At 42.8% G+C, this 17,210-nt stretch overlaps 1 protein-coding gene across 5 annotated transcripts in view; it reads left to right on the top strand.

Moving 5' to 3' along the window:
- Positions 1–1,259: 1,259 nt before the first annotated feature.
- The window catches only part of AOX1 (aldehyde oxidase 1), a 96,228-nt gene continuing 80,277 nt past the window's right edge, over positions 1,260–17,210 (top strand). For all 5 annotated transcript variants that reach the window (XR_007073113.1, XM_011511062.2, XM_017003946.2 and 2 more), the window contains exons 1-5: positions 1,260–1,399; positions 8,392–8,449; positions 10,518–10,614; positions 12,643–12,751; positions 14,866–14,992. Coding sequence is in view for 4 of the 5 variants with exons in the window: in XM_011511062.2 (XP_011509364.1) it covers positions 1,355–1,399; positions 8,392–8,449; positions 10,518–10,614; positions 12,643–12,751; positions 14,866–14,992 (436 nt within the window). In the remaining variant the exon portion in view is untranslated. The remainder of the gene's footprint in view (positions 1,400–8,391; positions 8,450–10,517; positions 10,615–12,642; positions 12,752–14,865; positions 14,993–17,210) is intronic.

The following is a 17,210-nucleotide window of genomic DNA, read 5'->3' on the forward strand; positions in this document are numbered from 1 at the left end:
CCTGGTTTCTTTTTCAATGTGTTAATAGTGTTAAAAAGTCTGTTTTAGATCAAAAGAGACTGATGAGACCACATGCAAATACATTGCACAGCTCTTGTTTGATTCAAAGAAGTCAAGTGTAAAAGACATTTTTTAGACACGTGAAATGGTGTTGCGGCTGACTAAAAGGATGTGTATGTGTGTTTTTGAAGTATTTAGGGCTAAAATATGTCCAGGATTGGCTTTTAAATACTACAAAAAATGGAGTATGCCAAAACGTTGACCATTGTTAAAGCTCAGTGAAGGGCAGGTAGATGCCAATTGCACTCTTCACTTTTATGTGCAAAGTTTGGAAAATTTCACAATAAAATTTTTGTGTTTACATAAATGAAATAACATGGGAAAATGTTCTAAGGTATGGCAAGTGAAAAAAGCCTGGAAAATAACTAGTTTGTCCCACTTAAGTTTTTAAAGGTGTTAAAAGTACATGTTTCAAAAAGTAAGGATAGACTAAAAAAGTGAACGGTGGTAAGTTCTAAGTTGTGGGCTTACAGGTGTTCTTTATTTTTATGCTTTGCTGTATTTTCCAAGTTTTTTTTTTTAAGTTTTCCAAGATGTTTTACATCTCTGTTCTTATTTACCAGATAAACTTTGTGGTTAGTTACTGGATAAACTGTAAATAGTGATAAAATTTTTAAGTTTATATCAAGATAGCACTTCATTTTAAAACCAGTAATTATTAGGTTGGTGCAAAATTAATTGCAGTTGTTGCCATTGGAAGTGATGGTAAAAACCGCAATTACTTTTGCACCAACCTTATATTTCTAAAAGATCAAGTTGTAAACCTATTTGTTTTCCCTAAGATCCGCTCTTGCAGAGTTGGAATAAATATGATTGTTTACACTTAAGAGTCCAGGACTACAGCAGGCCTGGTTGGAGGGGAGTTACTAATGTTCCCAGACTTAAATCCAGCTGGAACACCACCTAAAATATGCAGTAACATAAGACCATCAAAAGCAATGTCCCAGGACTTACAATGTTTGCTAAGACGCAAGAGGGTGTGACACAGACGCTAAGCGCCACTGGCGAGGAGATGAAGGGGTCGTCTTCATCTTCGCCGGATGATTTCCGCCCACATAGAGGGCGCCAGTGACGCCCACACACGTGCTGGTGTCCCGGGAAGAGTTCCTGGCAAAGAGCTCAGGAACGTTGGATCTTAATCAAGGCTTTCTCCGTCGGGGTGGATGGGTTGGACTTTAGGCTCCAGCAAGCCCCGCCCCACTCGGCGGGTCGGTGCCGCCGGGTCCCAGGTGCCCGCTACTTCCCAGAACCTCCGCCTCCCGCTCCGGGCCCTCGAACCAGCGCGGACACCACAATGGACCGGGCGTCCGAGCTGCTCTTCTACGTGAACGGCCGCAAGGTGAGCGCCCGCGGGCTTCCTCTGCCCCCAGACCTGCGGCCAGGGCCGGGGCAGAGAGGAGCCCCTGCCGTTCGTCCCATCCTTTCGTGCCCGCCGTTTAAGGCACTCAGGCACGGACTGGCTTTCTCCCGTAACAGCGGCTTTGCCTTCGCATTCCCACCCCTGCCTCCGGGGCAGCTAAAGGCTGCGTTTTCAGGGACTGTCCTGGATCTTTGGGCCCCCACCTTCCTTATGTTCCCCTTTCCTCTCCTTCCAAGGCTCACAAGCTGATTTCCAACCACACGCCCTCCCTAAACAGTAAGATAAAAAGTATTCTTGCCCATCAGGGGTCAGCACTCCCAGATCTTCGTTCCCTCAATCCCAGCCGATAACGGGAACGTCCCCAGTACACTGAGAGCAGCCTACAGAAATGGCTGAGCCTCAGCTCGCGGGGTGCGTTTGGAAGCGCAGAGAGCAACTTAGATTCGGGACAAGACCGTAGAGACGAACACATTCAAACCACCCCCATCGTTTCTCAGATGAAGAAATCGTTACTTTCCAAAGTCACAGCTAGTTCCTGGCAGAGCTGAACCCAAGTCAGGCTCTGGGGGCTCCAAGGTCCTCACGGGTTCCACTGCTGGGTGCGGGCTCTGTCGCCTCAGAAGCTGGGCTCGCTCTGCGCAACCCGAGGGACAGTTCCAGGCAGTGTCCGATGTTTGGGAGAAGCAAAGCCCCCTGGGCATCCTTTAAAACACCCCCCTTAATGTGAGCATCAACTCTGCTCACTCTTAATGTTCCAGTTTCATTGACATTACTCTGAAGGAGGAAACTGAGGCAGGAAGGTTAAGGAGCTCCCTTGAGAGCTGTGGCTCACGCCTGTAATCTGCACTTTGGGAGACCGAGGCAGGAGGATTGCTTGAGCCCAGGAGTTCGAGTTTAGCCTGGGCAACATGGCGAAACCTTGTCTCTACAAAAAAAAAACCAAACAAAACAAAACAACAACAACAAAAAAAAACCGGTGTGGTGGTGCGTGCCTGCAGCCCAGCTACTGGGGAGGGTGAAGGAGGATTGCTTGAGTCTAGGAGTTCAAGGTTACAGTGAGCTGTGATCACACCACTGCACTCCAGCTTGGACAAAAGAGTGAGATCCTATTTCTTAAAAACAACAAAAACAGAGCTAACAACCAAGCAAGAGCAGTGGCACCTGATTTCCCTGGTGCTCGTGTTGGTGCCGGTTCATTCAGAGCCACCTGTGACCACTGCTTCTGGCTAAGGGCAGCCACAACACTTTTCCCGACGGGCACCAGCTGCCTCCCCTGGAAGCTAACCAGTGTGAAGCACCAGGCCCTAGTTGTGAGGCCTGTTCTAAGACCCTGAGCCTAATTTCATTTGTGGTTTTGTATTATGTTTCTTAAAGAGGATCCCCCAAATTGTACATTAGGCCCCTCAAAAACTTTGTCTGCCCCTGCTGCCTGGGTTCTACATTGGATAAGATGAGCTAGTTTTTCCTGATCTGTAAGGGTCATTAGGACCCCTTCACAGGACTGCTGTGAGGGTGAAATATGACAATGGGGTGAGATGATTGACATTATGTCATTTTTTTCTTCTTTTGCATAATAGAATGGTATAGTAAACACAACACTGGCTTTGTTGTTTAGACAAACAAGTCTTCAATTCCAATTCTAATTCTGATTGAGAAAACCTAACCTCTCAGAGGCCCAGTTTCTCTGTTAAAAGGGGATCATACCACTTACTTCATAAAGAGTGATCATGAGCATTCAATCCACTTATTTGTTAAGGGCCTACCGTATGCCAGTCAGTGTTCCAGGCTTATGAGATACAGCAGAGCACAGAAATAACAAGTCCTTGCGTGCATGGAGCTTACATTGTGCTGGGGAGATAGCAAGCATATAAATACGTGGAAATGTGTAATGTCAGGAAGTGAGAAGTGCTAATATAAAAAATAAAGCACAGCGTGGGGACAGAGAGTATGCAGGATACTTAGAGGGGATGGATGTTTTGGCCTGTCTGAAAGGGTGGCATTTGAGCAGTGACTGGGATGCAGTGAGGAGCAAGCCATGCAAACATCTGGGGAGACAGCATCCAGGCAGTGGGAATGGCAGGTGCAAAGGTCCTGAGGTAGGAGGATTTCTGTGTGCTTAAGGAGGTAGGTTGGTGGGCCTGGCAACATGGGCAGTGGCCTGATTACTAGGGCTTTATAGGTGATGGTAAGGGTTTGGGTTAAATGAAGAAACAGGGATTGTGAGTCTAACATCTCCTCGCTTCTCCTTCCCCCACTTCCAAACAAATATTGGTATTTTTAACATAATGGCCAACAAGTTTGTGCTCTATTGATTTTTAAAATTAGATAAGCTAGTTCTTATCTACGGACTCACTTTGTCTATGGGCCAAATGTCCTGTGGTTATTTGTAAAGTATAATCTGGAGATATTGATTCTGTTTTTGCAATTACCCATTAGAAGAAATTGTGTTAATCTTTCCCTTTCCTTCTCCTCCCTTCTAAATTCTGTTAGGTGTGTGCTTCGGTACTTAATAAACAAGCCTGATTACTTACATGGAAAGAACTAGAATAAGCTTTTTTTTTTTTTTTTTTTTTGAGATCGAGTCTCACTCTGTTGCCTCCTGAGTAGCTGGGACTATGAAACTGCAAGCACCCACCACCACGCTAATTTTTGTATTTTTAGTAGAGATGGGGTTTCACTATGTTGGCCAAGCTGGTCTCAAACTCCTGACCCCAGGTGATCTCCCTGACTCGGCCTCCCAAAGTGCTGGGATTACAGGCTTGAGCCACTGTGCCCAGCCTAGCATAAACTTTTTCGTTCCAGAGAGTAAGGGATTGTTGAGAAGAGTGTGAGAGAAAATCCACCCTAGAAGAGGGCTTTTGAAGTCAAACACAATCTCTGGAATTAAAAACTCACCTTTGAAAAAGAAGCTTAGAAGTGAAGCCACTTAGGAGAAAATAGGTGACATGATTGGCTTCTATTCTGCTTTTTGCTAAATTTTCTCAGGTCACCAAAAGTTGTCCTCAGGCAGAAGGTAACGACATCTGGAGGCAAGGACAGCGCACGTTGGCCAGGGACCTAGTTGCAGAGAGATTTCTGAAATCTTATTCACTCTACCAAGGCCCCCAGAAGAACAGATGACCCATTTAACATGGAGTTTAAGGGAGGAAGAGCCCATGAATAAATTCTGCCATAGATGCCACATAACAACCTCAACTCAGGAAATGAAGCATGTCATTTCATGAGGCAATGAGGTGTGGAAATCAAAGGTATGGGCCTTAGAACTAGTCAGGGATGGGTTTGAATCCTGTGCTATCTGCTCTGCCACTTGGCGGGTCTGGGGCCTCGGGCAAGGTACTTAATGTCGCTGAGCTTCTGTTTTCTCTTTTGCAAAATGGAGCTAATAACAGAACCTTTTCCCTTGAAATTGGGGCTGATTAAGTTGCATAGAGAGAGGTTAGCAGGGTGGGTGTACACAGTAAACAGATTGTAAATTGATATGTGGAAACAATTGTTGCTATCTGGACTATAAAATAATCTGTTTCATTAGCAGAGCCAGAACCTGCTTAGAGGTGTCAAGGATGCTAAGAAGCAGTCATCCTGCATTATTTGCACAATGAGCATAGACTTTTGGTACTGGTGTAGGAATCTGGAAAGAGCAGTTTATTGGCTAGCATTCTCTAAGGTTCTTGGTTTACAAGGCTGAGAGAGGAAATTTCTGGGCTTCTGGAATGGCTGCAATGATTCAGAGAAAAGTGGAGAAGGTGGAGGCACCTTAGGCAGAAAGAAGTAACAAGCAAAATGAATTTTAAAAGCAACCTAAAGCTCAGGAAGATGTGTCCCCATGGCTGTTCCCTGAGGCTTCTTTCTCTCCTCTGAGGCTGCTGTAGATTATTGTTCTCTACTAACTGCATCTCACAGCATACACCCCTTTCTTTCCTCCTCTTCTACCTCTCAGCCTTGTCCCTTCACATGCACCTCTACCCCTTCCTTATTTTCTACTCTCTCTCCTCTTATCTCTCTCTTCCTTTCTCTTTCTGACTCTGTCTTGGATCTGGCAGGGCCTCCTCAGGCACTAGTCACTGGCAGTACACAGAGAAAAGTGATTTCTTAACCAAGTACAGCATGAACTTGGACTCTCCCAAAAGGGCTGGCAGTGATACAGAGGGGCAGATTCCACCCTCAGATTCAAGACTATGCTGAGATGAGTACATGCAATGACCCTGACCTGAGAACTGGCAACATCTCTCAAATCCAGAGTCAACCAGAATAACTGTTACCCATCCCCTGTATGCCTTCTAGCCTCCCTCTGAGTCCTAACCTCCCTGTATCATTCCCAGAGCTGCCAGGACAAGATGCGTGCTAGATCTCTGCCCCCACTTCCTCCAAATACAACCCTCACTACATCAAAACAACAACAACAACAACAACAACAAAACACATTTCAAACTGGTGGGACTTTGAGCCAGATTCCAATCCCTTGAAACATTTCCTGGAACACATACCCAAACAAGCATGACCACCTTCTTCCATGAATTCTTTCCTCAAATATAGAAATATTCCTCAAGCCTAAAATGCTATTCTTTACTAACTAGGCTACCCAGACCCTGTCTATCCATTAAAACGGGGCTTCTATTGTTTACCATCATATCTAGGAACAGACATTGTGAGGTTGGGGCAGAAGCTTTATGGTGTTATCTGAGACCCACGTTTCTTCTCTCTTTTTTCTCTCCTGCCATTAACATGTTGCCTCATGGTCTAAGATAACTGCTGGGGTTCTAGCCATTTCATCCCTATTCCAAGTAGCGGGAAGGAAGGAAAGGAGAATGCATGCCAGGATAGACAACCTACAGTTTCTGCCACCAATAACTTCTGTGTTTTTCTTTATTTTTCATCTATTCAGATGCCCAAGTCTATGAGAAATTCCTTCCTTCTTGGTATCTCATACCAAATCATACATAGCATGTTCCAGTCATTCATTTCATTAATTAACACTTATTACATCCTGTGATATTTCCCCACCACCAAGCTCAGTGTTTGGCATAAAGAAGAACAGCAGAAGATGGCTTCTTTCAGGATCGAGATAGTCTTGTACACACACAAATAATTATGATACAGTGTAAAAAGTGTCATAAAAGAAGAGGTGAAGACATCAGCCATGGGAACAAAGAGGAGGATGGTTACTTTGAGATGCAAAAGGGTATTTTAGGTGGCAGAACTCTCCATAGAGAACACTTGAGCAGGGTGGTGAATGACATACAAAATTCTGCCAAGAAGAGAGGAAGGATTTTCAGGACAGAGGGAACCTTGCATGCAAATGCAGTGAAGGTGAAAGTCCAACGCACCCCCTGGACTGTCCAGTTCATCCGTGTGGCCTGAGTTCGAATTTCTTCTTGTATTCCGGAAATAGTTGGTTATTAATTCACCTAAGATCCACTCAGTGTACTCATTTAAAAAGCACATTTTCTGGTTCCCTCTACCAGAAATCCTGATTCCATAGCGGTTTCATTTTAACAAGCATCTCCATGATTCAGGAATTCCCAGAATGGCAGTTTGGCAGCCAGGAGCCATGTTAAATTTAGGCATATACATGAGACGATCAGGCTTGGGTTTTACAGCAGTCACTCTGGTCGTGGTGCAGAGGACGATATTGCGGGTACCAAGAGTGGAGGCAGGGAGAACTCTCAGGCAGGTCTTATAATCATTCAGACAATAGGTGATATGGGCTCATGGGCAGTGACAGTAGAAGAGAAAGGAGTTTAGAGGAACATTGGAAGCCCAAGTGGAAGAACTTGGTGACACTGATTGTGGTGGATTGGAAAAAAAAAAGTTGAAAATAGCTCAGGTTTTTTAGCTTAGGTGACCTAGCAGATACTGAGGCCATTAAAAGGTTAAGGAAAAGAAGGGAAGGAGTAAGTAAGTTTGGAAAATAAAATAAAGAGTTCCATTTGAGAGCCAATTAAGTTGAAGATACCTGAGAGGCACCCCATATTTTTTCTTATCACATACACACACACAAACAGACACACATGCACCAATCTTTCTATATTGCGGACTCTTCTAGGGCACAGATCTGACCTTGGCAATTGGCATATGCCACACCTTGCCTGGAATATAGCCTGTTAGAATTGAGGGTGAGGCAGCAGCCCTAGAATAAGCATATGTCCACTCCTCACCTACTACTTCCCAGGAGGGAAAATTACTATAATATGGTGAAAGATGAATTCAGCTTCTGAAATGGCAAAGCAAGTCATGCTTCTATGTGTTCTATGAATCCAAAAGAAATGTCAAATTTTTGTGAAAAAAGAGAAAACATGATCACTTTGGAAAACATAACCAATCTTGACATTTTGATGTCATCCTTGAGAAAAAACAGCATGCTGTTCTGCTGCTATGTGCCAGGCTGCTCCCATGAACTTGCCTAAGTATGTCCTTGCTGCACAGTTTTGCATCACTTAGCATACATGTTTTATCTTCCCCTTTGTTTATTTGATTGGGGCCATGGCTGGTTATCTTTTACTGGAAACCACAATTATTTGAACAAGATAAACAAACAAGTCTTTTTAAAAATTAACTATATCAATTTCTCAGAGGCTATTCTATTCCAGCAATTCCCCTCCCTCCTTTCCTTTCTTATTTCATCCACTCCTCCCCCAAGTCTGAATGTTCTACTAATGTCTTTACTCTCACCTGCTTTAAACTTTCTAGAAAAAACTGGACAGGAGGTAGTGTTTCTGTTAGCAGAAACAACAATTGCCTTAGAGAACAGCGATAATTCAGGACCAAGGACAGGAGCACAATTGTGGTGGGGCTCAAGATTACACATAAGAGTGGTGGTTTGCATATCACAGCTGTTCCATAAAGCTGAAATCTACTTGAAAATATGAGTAAAAGGGCTAATTAACATGCATTTCCCTCAAATTAGTGTGATCCTACCAATGTGAATTTCATATTAGCTCTCTCAACTAACTCTTATTTTCCCTTTGGTATAGGTGATAGAAAAAAATGTCGATCCTGAAACAATGCTGTTGCCTTATTTGAGGAAGAAGCGTATCCTTTTCTTTACTTTGACTGTGTATGTGTGTGTGTATTTGTATAACTCCAATATCCTCATTAAATGATATTTCAAATATACATTAGAGACACTGAGACATATTCCCTACTATCATGGTTTTATGCTCATATTTGAGAAAGTCCTATCATTTTATAGGCAGTGCACAAATGTGGCCGTCAGAAGAACCAATTTTCTTCTAGTCTCTGTATAAAATGGGGAAACTAGTAATGGAAACTTAATAGACGTTAAAAGGACCTAACTAAGCATCCTTTAGAATTAGAGTCACAATATTTATACTCTGTCCTTAAGGACTAATTATTATGCCCATTAGGAAAAGAGAGCACAGAAGTCACCTGAAATGAAAGTAAAAGGAAAACGGAAGAACTAAACCTGAAAATGTTATCCTAGAAAAACTTGCCAAATAAATGCCATCAAAGGAATGTATTTTTAGCTTGCTATGCATGAACTCCAGTGGGCTACCCGACGGTGAAAGACACTACTGAATTATATGCAAAATTATGTTTCAAAGAGGGTGTGTACATTTTTCCCCCTGGAGAGAGTAAAATTACCAAAAGAGTACATAACTCCAAAGCATCAATAATTATTTTTCAGACACATGAATATGTTTCTGAAACATGCTCATGAAAGTCATTCAAGATCTTTAGACATAAAAAAACAATGAACATGACTCCCTGATTATCCACAGTACCTATGTATAATATTTAAAGTTTGGTTCACTATGAGTGACAGAAAACTCCACCTCATGGTAAACAAGATAGAAGGTAGGAGTTTCTTTCTTTCTCATTGTGTTAGTTCAGGTTCTTCAGGATGTGGACACCAAAAATGAGATTAAATGTGCCAGGATTTTATTAGGAGAAATGCCTGTGGGAAAGGAAGTAGGGAGTGAATCAGAGGAGACTTAGGGAGCCATTTGATCACCGTGTAAGTCTGACCCTGGAGATAAGGTTGAGTGGAAGGGCCCTAGACTGCTGGTCAGTCTAAGGCATGTTCTTCAGAACCACTGGGGATGGTTGACAAGGACTCCATGTCTCTCCATAGCACTAAGCCATTGGTGGAGAGCAGTCCATGGGAAGCATGGTCTTAATGAAAACTGGAGTGATCAGTATTAAAGTACAGCAACAGGGTCCCTTGGTCAGTTACCCTCTGTGTTGAAGGGAGGTCTGTGAGGCATGTTTGCATGGCTATCACACTCACATAAAGGAAGCCCACAGGTAGGTGGATCAGAGCTGGTAAAGCAGTGTCACAATGTTGTTGAGGAACCAAGCAGCACCTTCCTCAGCACACAGCTTTCTCCCCACCATCAGAGATGACTAATGGAGGCCCAGCCCTCATATCTGAATTCCAGCAAATAGGAAGAAGTAATGAGCAAAGAAAGAAGCACCCCTCTCCTTTTAAGGACACTCTTCTCCTGGAAGTCATACACAACACTTATAATTACATCCTAGTAGCCAGCATTGTTAATGACCCCACCTAGCTGCAGAGGAGTCTGGGAAAGTCTATTTTTTACTCTGGGAAGCCATGTGTGTGGCTAAAAATCAGTGTTTCTATTTCTAAGGAATTATGAGAGAACAGATATTAGGGAACAGATGGCAGCTTTTGCGACTGAAAGGCAGAGAAATACACAAACATGGCTAAGATGACACAAATATTCCAAGCATTATCTACAATTTAATATTTTGCTTTGTGTCATCAAAGACAGAGATAAGGATGAGAATAAATGTGCAATGTGTTCATACCTTCAAATACTCAAGTGCTTACACATATAGACTCTTCTTTTTTCAGTTCAGCCCTATTTTTGGCAACCTGACGTCCAGTTGTTTTCAAAGGGAGAATGCAAGATATAACACACAAAAGGAAATCAAGAATTTACAAGATTATTATAGCTTCTATAATAGTAATTAAGACATAAACACATTATTTGATGAATATGTATTGAACTTAACTAACATTTAAGAGTCTGTGATATTACTGTCTCCTAGTGGCAGGGCTATTCTAGAAAGAGAATTACATAACACATATGATCTTTAACTATACCTCTTCCAGTTCGACTCACAGGAACTAAGTATGGCTGTGGAGGAGGAGGCTGTGGTGCTTGTACAGTGATGATATCACGATACAACCCCATCACCAAGAGGATAAGGTACCGTGCAGCAAAGTCCAGATATGGTTGAATTTTTATAATTTTGAACTTTGTTATATTCCTTCATTTGGTAAATATATATTGAGTACCTACCATGTGAAAAGAACTGGCCACTTGGCGTACAATGATGAACAAGACAGACATGGTCCTAGGAATATGAATGTTTTGGGAAAAAAATGTAGCATCAATGAGGATAACATACGGTCAAAGAATTCCCCATCAAAGCCAGGTACAGTGGCACACATTTCTAGCTACTTGGGAGGCTGTCAGGAGGATTGCTTGAGTTTGAGTCCAGCCTGGGCAACACAGCAAGACCTTGTCTCTAAGAAAAAAAAAAATCCCCTGTCAAAACTTGAATGGCTCCCTAACTCCCTGTCTGGGGAGGAAAGGCAAGGCTGAAATTGCAGTGGAGGATAATGCCATCATCACATTCATATATTACTCTTCCAGCCCCTAACTTATCTCCTTCCTCCCATCTGGTGCATTCTCCATACATCAGCCAGAGTGACCTGCTTTAATTATCATCAGATCAAGTCATTCCCGTACTTATAAGCCCCCAATGGCTTCCCATTATGTTTAACATCTGTTTATGTTTGGTATTTATCCTTCCTCACATTTGCCAAGTTTCTTGGATCTGTGTGTTGATGTCTTCTGGAAACTTCTCAAGGCATTATCTCTTCAAATATTTACTCTGTGCCACACACTCTTCCCTCTGTTCTTCTGGGAATCCAATTATGCTAATGTTAGACGATTTTACATCATTTCACAGATCGCACTTGAAGGCTAAGGATCTGAGCACTGGTGAGGTTTCAGATATCTGCCTGTGTTCCACACCAAACTACCTGCTGTCTGAACTCTGAGAGGTTCCTCCCTGCTTTACGGCCTGGCTGTCAGCTTTTTAGTTCATGAGGGATTTCTCTTTGCTTACCTCTCTCACCTTCCATGCTTTGGGAGATCTGTCGCAGCCATGTTGCTCTGTCTTTAGCCTCTAGGGAGTGGCGACTACCCTATGCTCTGTGAAGTCTGAGTACCTAGGGTTTCTCTCAGTTCTCCTGTCTCTCCCCCAGCCTTCTTTGTTTAAGGACCAGTATGCTTGGAAAGTTTCTTTTAGCTCTCCTTCCCTGCCTATTTTGGGGAACTACCCCCGGCACTCAGTGATCTCTGGTGGGGAAGAGATTGAAGATAATGCATCCCAGCTTTGTATTTGAATCTGTTGTTATCAGCCCACATGCAACCATTCAAAATTTGTTGGAAGTTGGTCTGGTTTCTCCTTATTCCTGTTTAAGGCAGGTTCCTTTTCCTCCTTCAATTTCAGGAAGAGAATAATTGTATCTCAGGGATGAGAGCAACTGTATCTTCTCTCTTATGAAGGGGTTGTCACATCGGAGTTTAGTTTATTTATTTATTAAGTTTTGCTCATAAAGTTTCTTTGTGTACTCAGCATCTGATGAGCTTTGAAAATGTGATTATGTTCCTCGTATGGTTTACTTTGGTTTTTAGAATGGGAGTGGCAGTCTCTTACAACTCTTAATGGCTTGTTTTTACCTTCTGGTCTTTGTACTAAGGCACCAGTTTCTCCAGTTCTTTAATGTTTAACTTATGCATCCATCAGCGTGACAGTGAGGTGTTGGTGAAGTCTGGCTGCTCTGGTTGCTAATGGAGACCTGGCCTGCCATAGGTGCATGGTTACCTGTGACTAGAGAATGTCAACCCCTCATTCAAGAGCAAAAACCATCAAAGTTGTGACAGTTTTTGATAAGTGGACACCATTCTGGAATTAGAATTAGGAGGCGTAATTTTAATCCTGCCTCTGACACTCTGGCTGTGACCCTGAGTAAATCACTCTGATCCTCAGATTCCACTTCTCTAAAATGGGCCTGTGCCTGAGCTAAGGAGGAAATGTATGTGTAAAACCTGGGTACATTATACAAAAACCTGCCACAGTGGAGAAGCTCAGTGAATGCCTGGCCCCTTTCCCACTGTATGCGACATAATTTGTAATTTGTGCTTTTCTTTTGCATTCTGAAGGCATCACCCAGCCAATGCCTGTCTGATTCCCATCTGTTCTCTGTATGGTGCTGCCGTCACCACAGTAGAAGGCATAGGAAGCACCCACACCAGAATTCATCCTGTTCAGGTGAGGATGTGCCTCTTCCTTATAGGCTTTCTGTGCTTTAGAAACCTCATGACATTGAGTCCCTGAGATTAAGAGAGCGGAGCAGCCTGGGGCCTGCTGGCTCGGCCACTCCAACAGATACAACCTAGCTGGGAACAAGAGTGAAGCCTGGCATATTGGGATATGTGAGTGTTTCTGACTAACTTGTTGGAAAAATGCTTTTGGAAGGCTAGAAAACCTTTTCTTCTCTAAGAATGCCCTGACATTTGTGGGTTTGTTTTTTGTGTTCTAATTCGATGGGACCTATCTATTTGACATCTTCCAAACTCATAAAGAAACAAGAGCCAGGTGCAGTGGCTAACACCTGTAATCCCAACACTTTGGGAGGCCAAGGCAGGTGGATTGCTTGAGCCCAGGAGTTTGAGACCAGCTTAGGCAACATGGTGAAACATGTCTCTACAAAAGTACAAAAATTAGTGGGGTGTGGTGGTGAGCACCTATAGTCCTGGCTACTCGGGGGTGCTGAGGTGAGAGAATCACTTGAGCCTGGGAGGTTGAGGCTGCAGTAAACCATGATTGCACCCTGTACTTCAGCCTGGGTGACTGAGTGAGACCCTGTTGTAAGAAAGAGAAGGAGAAAAAGAGGGAGAGAGGAGGGAGGAAGGGAGGGAAGGAAGGAAGGAAAGAAAAGATGAAGGAAGAAAGAGAAAGAAGAGCCATGTGCATTGAGGGATATAATTTTATTTTTTTTTATAAAGTGGAAAACAACATGATCTTAAGGCTGAGTGAAAATTTCAGCTACCAAAAAGCTTTGTTATATTTAGAGCTTGTTTGGAAGACAGATGATAGGAGTTGTCAATAAGTTTTTTGGCTTTTCTCCTAAAGAAGCACCTTGTTAGAGTTTTAGACTCAAGTAAAAAGGCATCTTCAGACACCTGAGTCTTTATGTATATATTGCCCATAAGAATGCCATTTCTAGGCCAGGCGTGGTAGCTCATACCTATAATCCCAGCACTTTGGGAGGCAGAGGTGGGCAGATCACGAGCTCAAGAGATCAAGACCATCCTGGCCAATGTAGTGAAACCCTGTCTCTACTAAAACTACAAAAATTAGCTGGGCATGGTGGTGCATACCTGTAGTCCCAAGCTACTCGGGAGGCTGAAGCAGGAATAATCACTTGAACCTGGGAGGTGGAGGTTGCAGTGAGCCAAGATCATGCCACTGCACTCCAGCCTGGCAACAGAGCAAGACTCTGTCTCAAAAAAAAAAAAAGCCACTTTTCCTCATTTTTATTGAAGTTAATGAAGATCAAATATGAGAAAAGATAGAAGGAAAAGATAGGAGCAACATAGAAAATGACCCAAGTTCAAATTTTCTAGATTTGAAGGAATCTTGGATTCTGTTTATTTGAAAGATCATTACCCAGAGGGAGAGAATTTTGCCTGGATCATTATGACATATCATTAACTAGAGGGAGAGAATTCTGCCTGGATGCCCATGTGAGACCTGGTCATACACAGGCATACAATACCCTTTCATTTCTTCATTGATGCGGAACTCCCATTGTTACAATGTTGCCAGAAGACAGCTTCCAAAATCGACTTGAACCTTAGAAGTTAGACTCCAAAGCAAAAATGCTAGGGGGAGGGAAACGTATAAAAGAAATAAAAGCATTTTATTTTTTATTTATTTTTTTTCCACTTCTCAACTTGAGTGTAATTTGGTTTATTTCTCTGAAGGATTTCTTTTATCTCAGTAATTCACAACCACAACTGCACGTTGAAACCAACCATGTGGGAATCTTTAAAAGATGTATGCCCGTGCCCCATTCCCAGAGACTCTGTCAGTTGGTTTGTGGTGCTGTGTGGGGCTTGAAATCTTAACACTGTCCGGGTGATTCTCAAGAGTGGTAACCACTGCCTTAAGTGAAGCTCAAAAGCAGATAAGGCCCAACCTCACAACAACCCAGCCCTGGGGAGGGAGGTGCCTGGGATGAGAAGGGCTCCCAGGGGCCTCTGCTGCAATCTTAACATGCAGACAAATCACCTGGGGATCTTGCTAGAATGCAGGCTCTAATTCATTAGGCCTGGGATGGGGCCCCAAATTCTGCATTTCTAACCTTTCTGTGCTTCCAGGAGAGGATTGCCAAGTGTCATGGCACCCAGTGTGGCTTCTGCACACCTGGGATGGTGATGTCCATCTACACGCTGCTCAGGAACCACCCAGAGCCCACTCTGGATCAGTTAACTGATGCCCTTGGTGGTAGGTTATATATGCATGCTTTTATTTTTTAATTTTTATTTATTTATTTATTTTTTGAGACGGAATCTCACTCTGTTGCCCGGGCTGGAGGGCGGCGGCGCAATCTTGGCCCCACTGTAACCTCCGCCTCCCAGGTTCAAGCAATTCTTGTGCCTCAGCCTCCCCTCATGCTTTTACTTTTAAACGATGATGATGATAATGATAACAGCTAATATTGGATACCTTTCATGTGCCACACACATTTAATAGTATTAAATACTATTTGAAGATTATCTCATTTGATCCTCACAAAAAATTTATAAGATAGGTACTATTGTTATCCCCATTTCATAAATGGAGAAACTGAGGTTTGGGGAGAGTGATTTGTTCAAAGTTACACCCCCAATAAGTGGAAGAATTGGTTTGTTCAAATCAGGATTCAAACCAACCCACACATTGCATTTGGCTGATGTATTTCTGAAGTCTCTTTTGTTTTTATAATCATTAAAAAGCCAGTTATTCATCAGCCCTTGGGAAGAGTCCTGTTATCTCCACATGCTGCTCCCTCACCACTCTCCCTACTGGGTGGTGGGTGCTTTCAGGACCATATTCAACATCAGAGGGCTGCGATGGTTACAGCATAAAGTCAGAGACTGAGATCTTATGGTGAAACTTGATACTTATTGCAAAGAACTGTCTATCCACCCTAGAGCGTTTTTGTCAAGTTCAGGAGCTCAGTGTGTATGTGGCGGGGGGGGACATCCTCATCAACAAGATTCTAAACACGTTTTTTTAAGTGATACCCTCTCAAGTTCTGTTTCTGGTGAACTTCTCCATGGCTCCGTTTGTCTTTGTCTCAGGCCTCCCGAAGACCTCATTTCTCTGCTAGAGAACATGAGCCTAAAGCTCATATGTACACTTACTCTGCAAAAATGTTCCAAGGAAAACCAGAACAAATGGATGTAGAAAGGAGAGACATCGCTCATAAACTGTCTTCTGCCTGATTTCCTTCAGATCTTATCATGAATTTGATTTCATGGCTGTTTATGATGTAAACAAGTGATAAGGGGTTCTCAGATTTCAGGGTACTTAGGTCATACATGGGAATTTGTGGGTAATGAAGATTCCTGGGACCCACCCCTAGAGAGTTTGACTCAGTAATATTGTTTTTTAAATAAGACTTCAGATTTAGGGGTGGAGGAGGAACACCGGATCGCACTGTGGGAGAAACGCTGGCCTGATGATTTATTATAAATAAATAATGTGCCCTACTGCTTTCACAGTTTAATAACTACCTTTGCTGCTGTATAATAACTTTGATCTTTCTGTCAGCTGAAGCTTAGAGTGCTTTTTTTTTTTTTTTTTTGTCACAGTAAGTGTTAAGAATGAGGGGTTTTTTCCTTAGAAAAAGAAGTATAGCTTGCTATTTGCAACAACGTAAATGAACCTGGAGGACATTATGCTGAGTAAAATAAGCCAGGCACAGAAGAACAAATACTACATGAGCCCACTTATATGAGGAATCTAAAGTAGTCAAACTCACAGAAGTAGAGAATAGAATGGTGATTACCAGGGCCTGGGGAACGGGAAAACAAAGATGTATTCGTCAAAGGTAAAAAGTTTCAGTTATGCAAAAGGAGTAAGTCCTAGAGATACTGTATAGCATAATGCTTATAGTTAACACTGTATTGTATACTCAAACATTTGCTGAAAGGGCAGATGTTATAGTAATCACAAAATAAATGAATAAATAAATAAATGATGGGAGGGAAGTTAGAGGTAATAGATATGTTTATAACATTGACCGTGGTGATGGTTTCATGGGTGTAAGACTTATCTCCAAATTCACCAAGTTGTACAGCTTTTTGCATGTCAATAACAGCTCAGTAAAATGGATTTTACTTTTTAAAAAAAAAATTAGTTTGGCTGAACACAGTGGCTCACGCCTGTAATCCCAACATTTAGGGAGGCCTAGGTGGGTGGATCACCTGAGGTCAGGAATTTTGAGACCAGACTGGCCAACATGGTGAAATCCCATCTGTACTAAAAATACAAAAATTAGCCTGACCTGGTGGTGCACACCTGTAGTCCCAGCTACTCGGGGGGCTGAGGCAGGAGAATTGCTTGAACCCGGAAGGTGGAAGTTGCAATGAGCTGAGACTGCACCACCGCACCTGCAGCCTGGGCGACAGAATGAAACCCTGTCTCAAAAATAAAAGTAAAAATAAGTTGTTTTTAA

The sequence above is a fragment of the Homo sapiens genome, chromosome 2 (assembly GCF_000001405.40).
Source record: "Homo sapiens chromosome 2, GRCh38.p14 Primary Assembly".
NCBI lineage: Eukaryota > Metazoa > Chordata > Mammalia > Primates > Hominidae > Homo > Homo sapiens.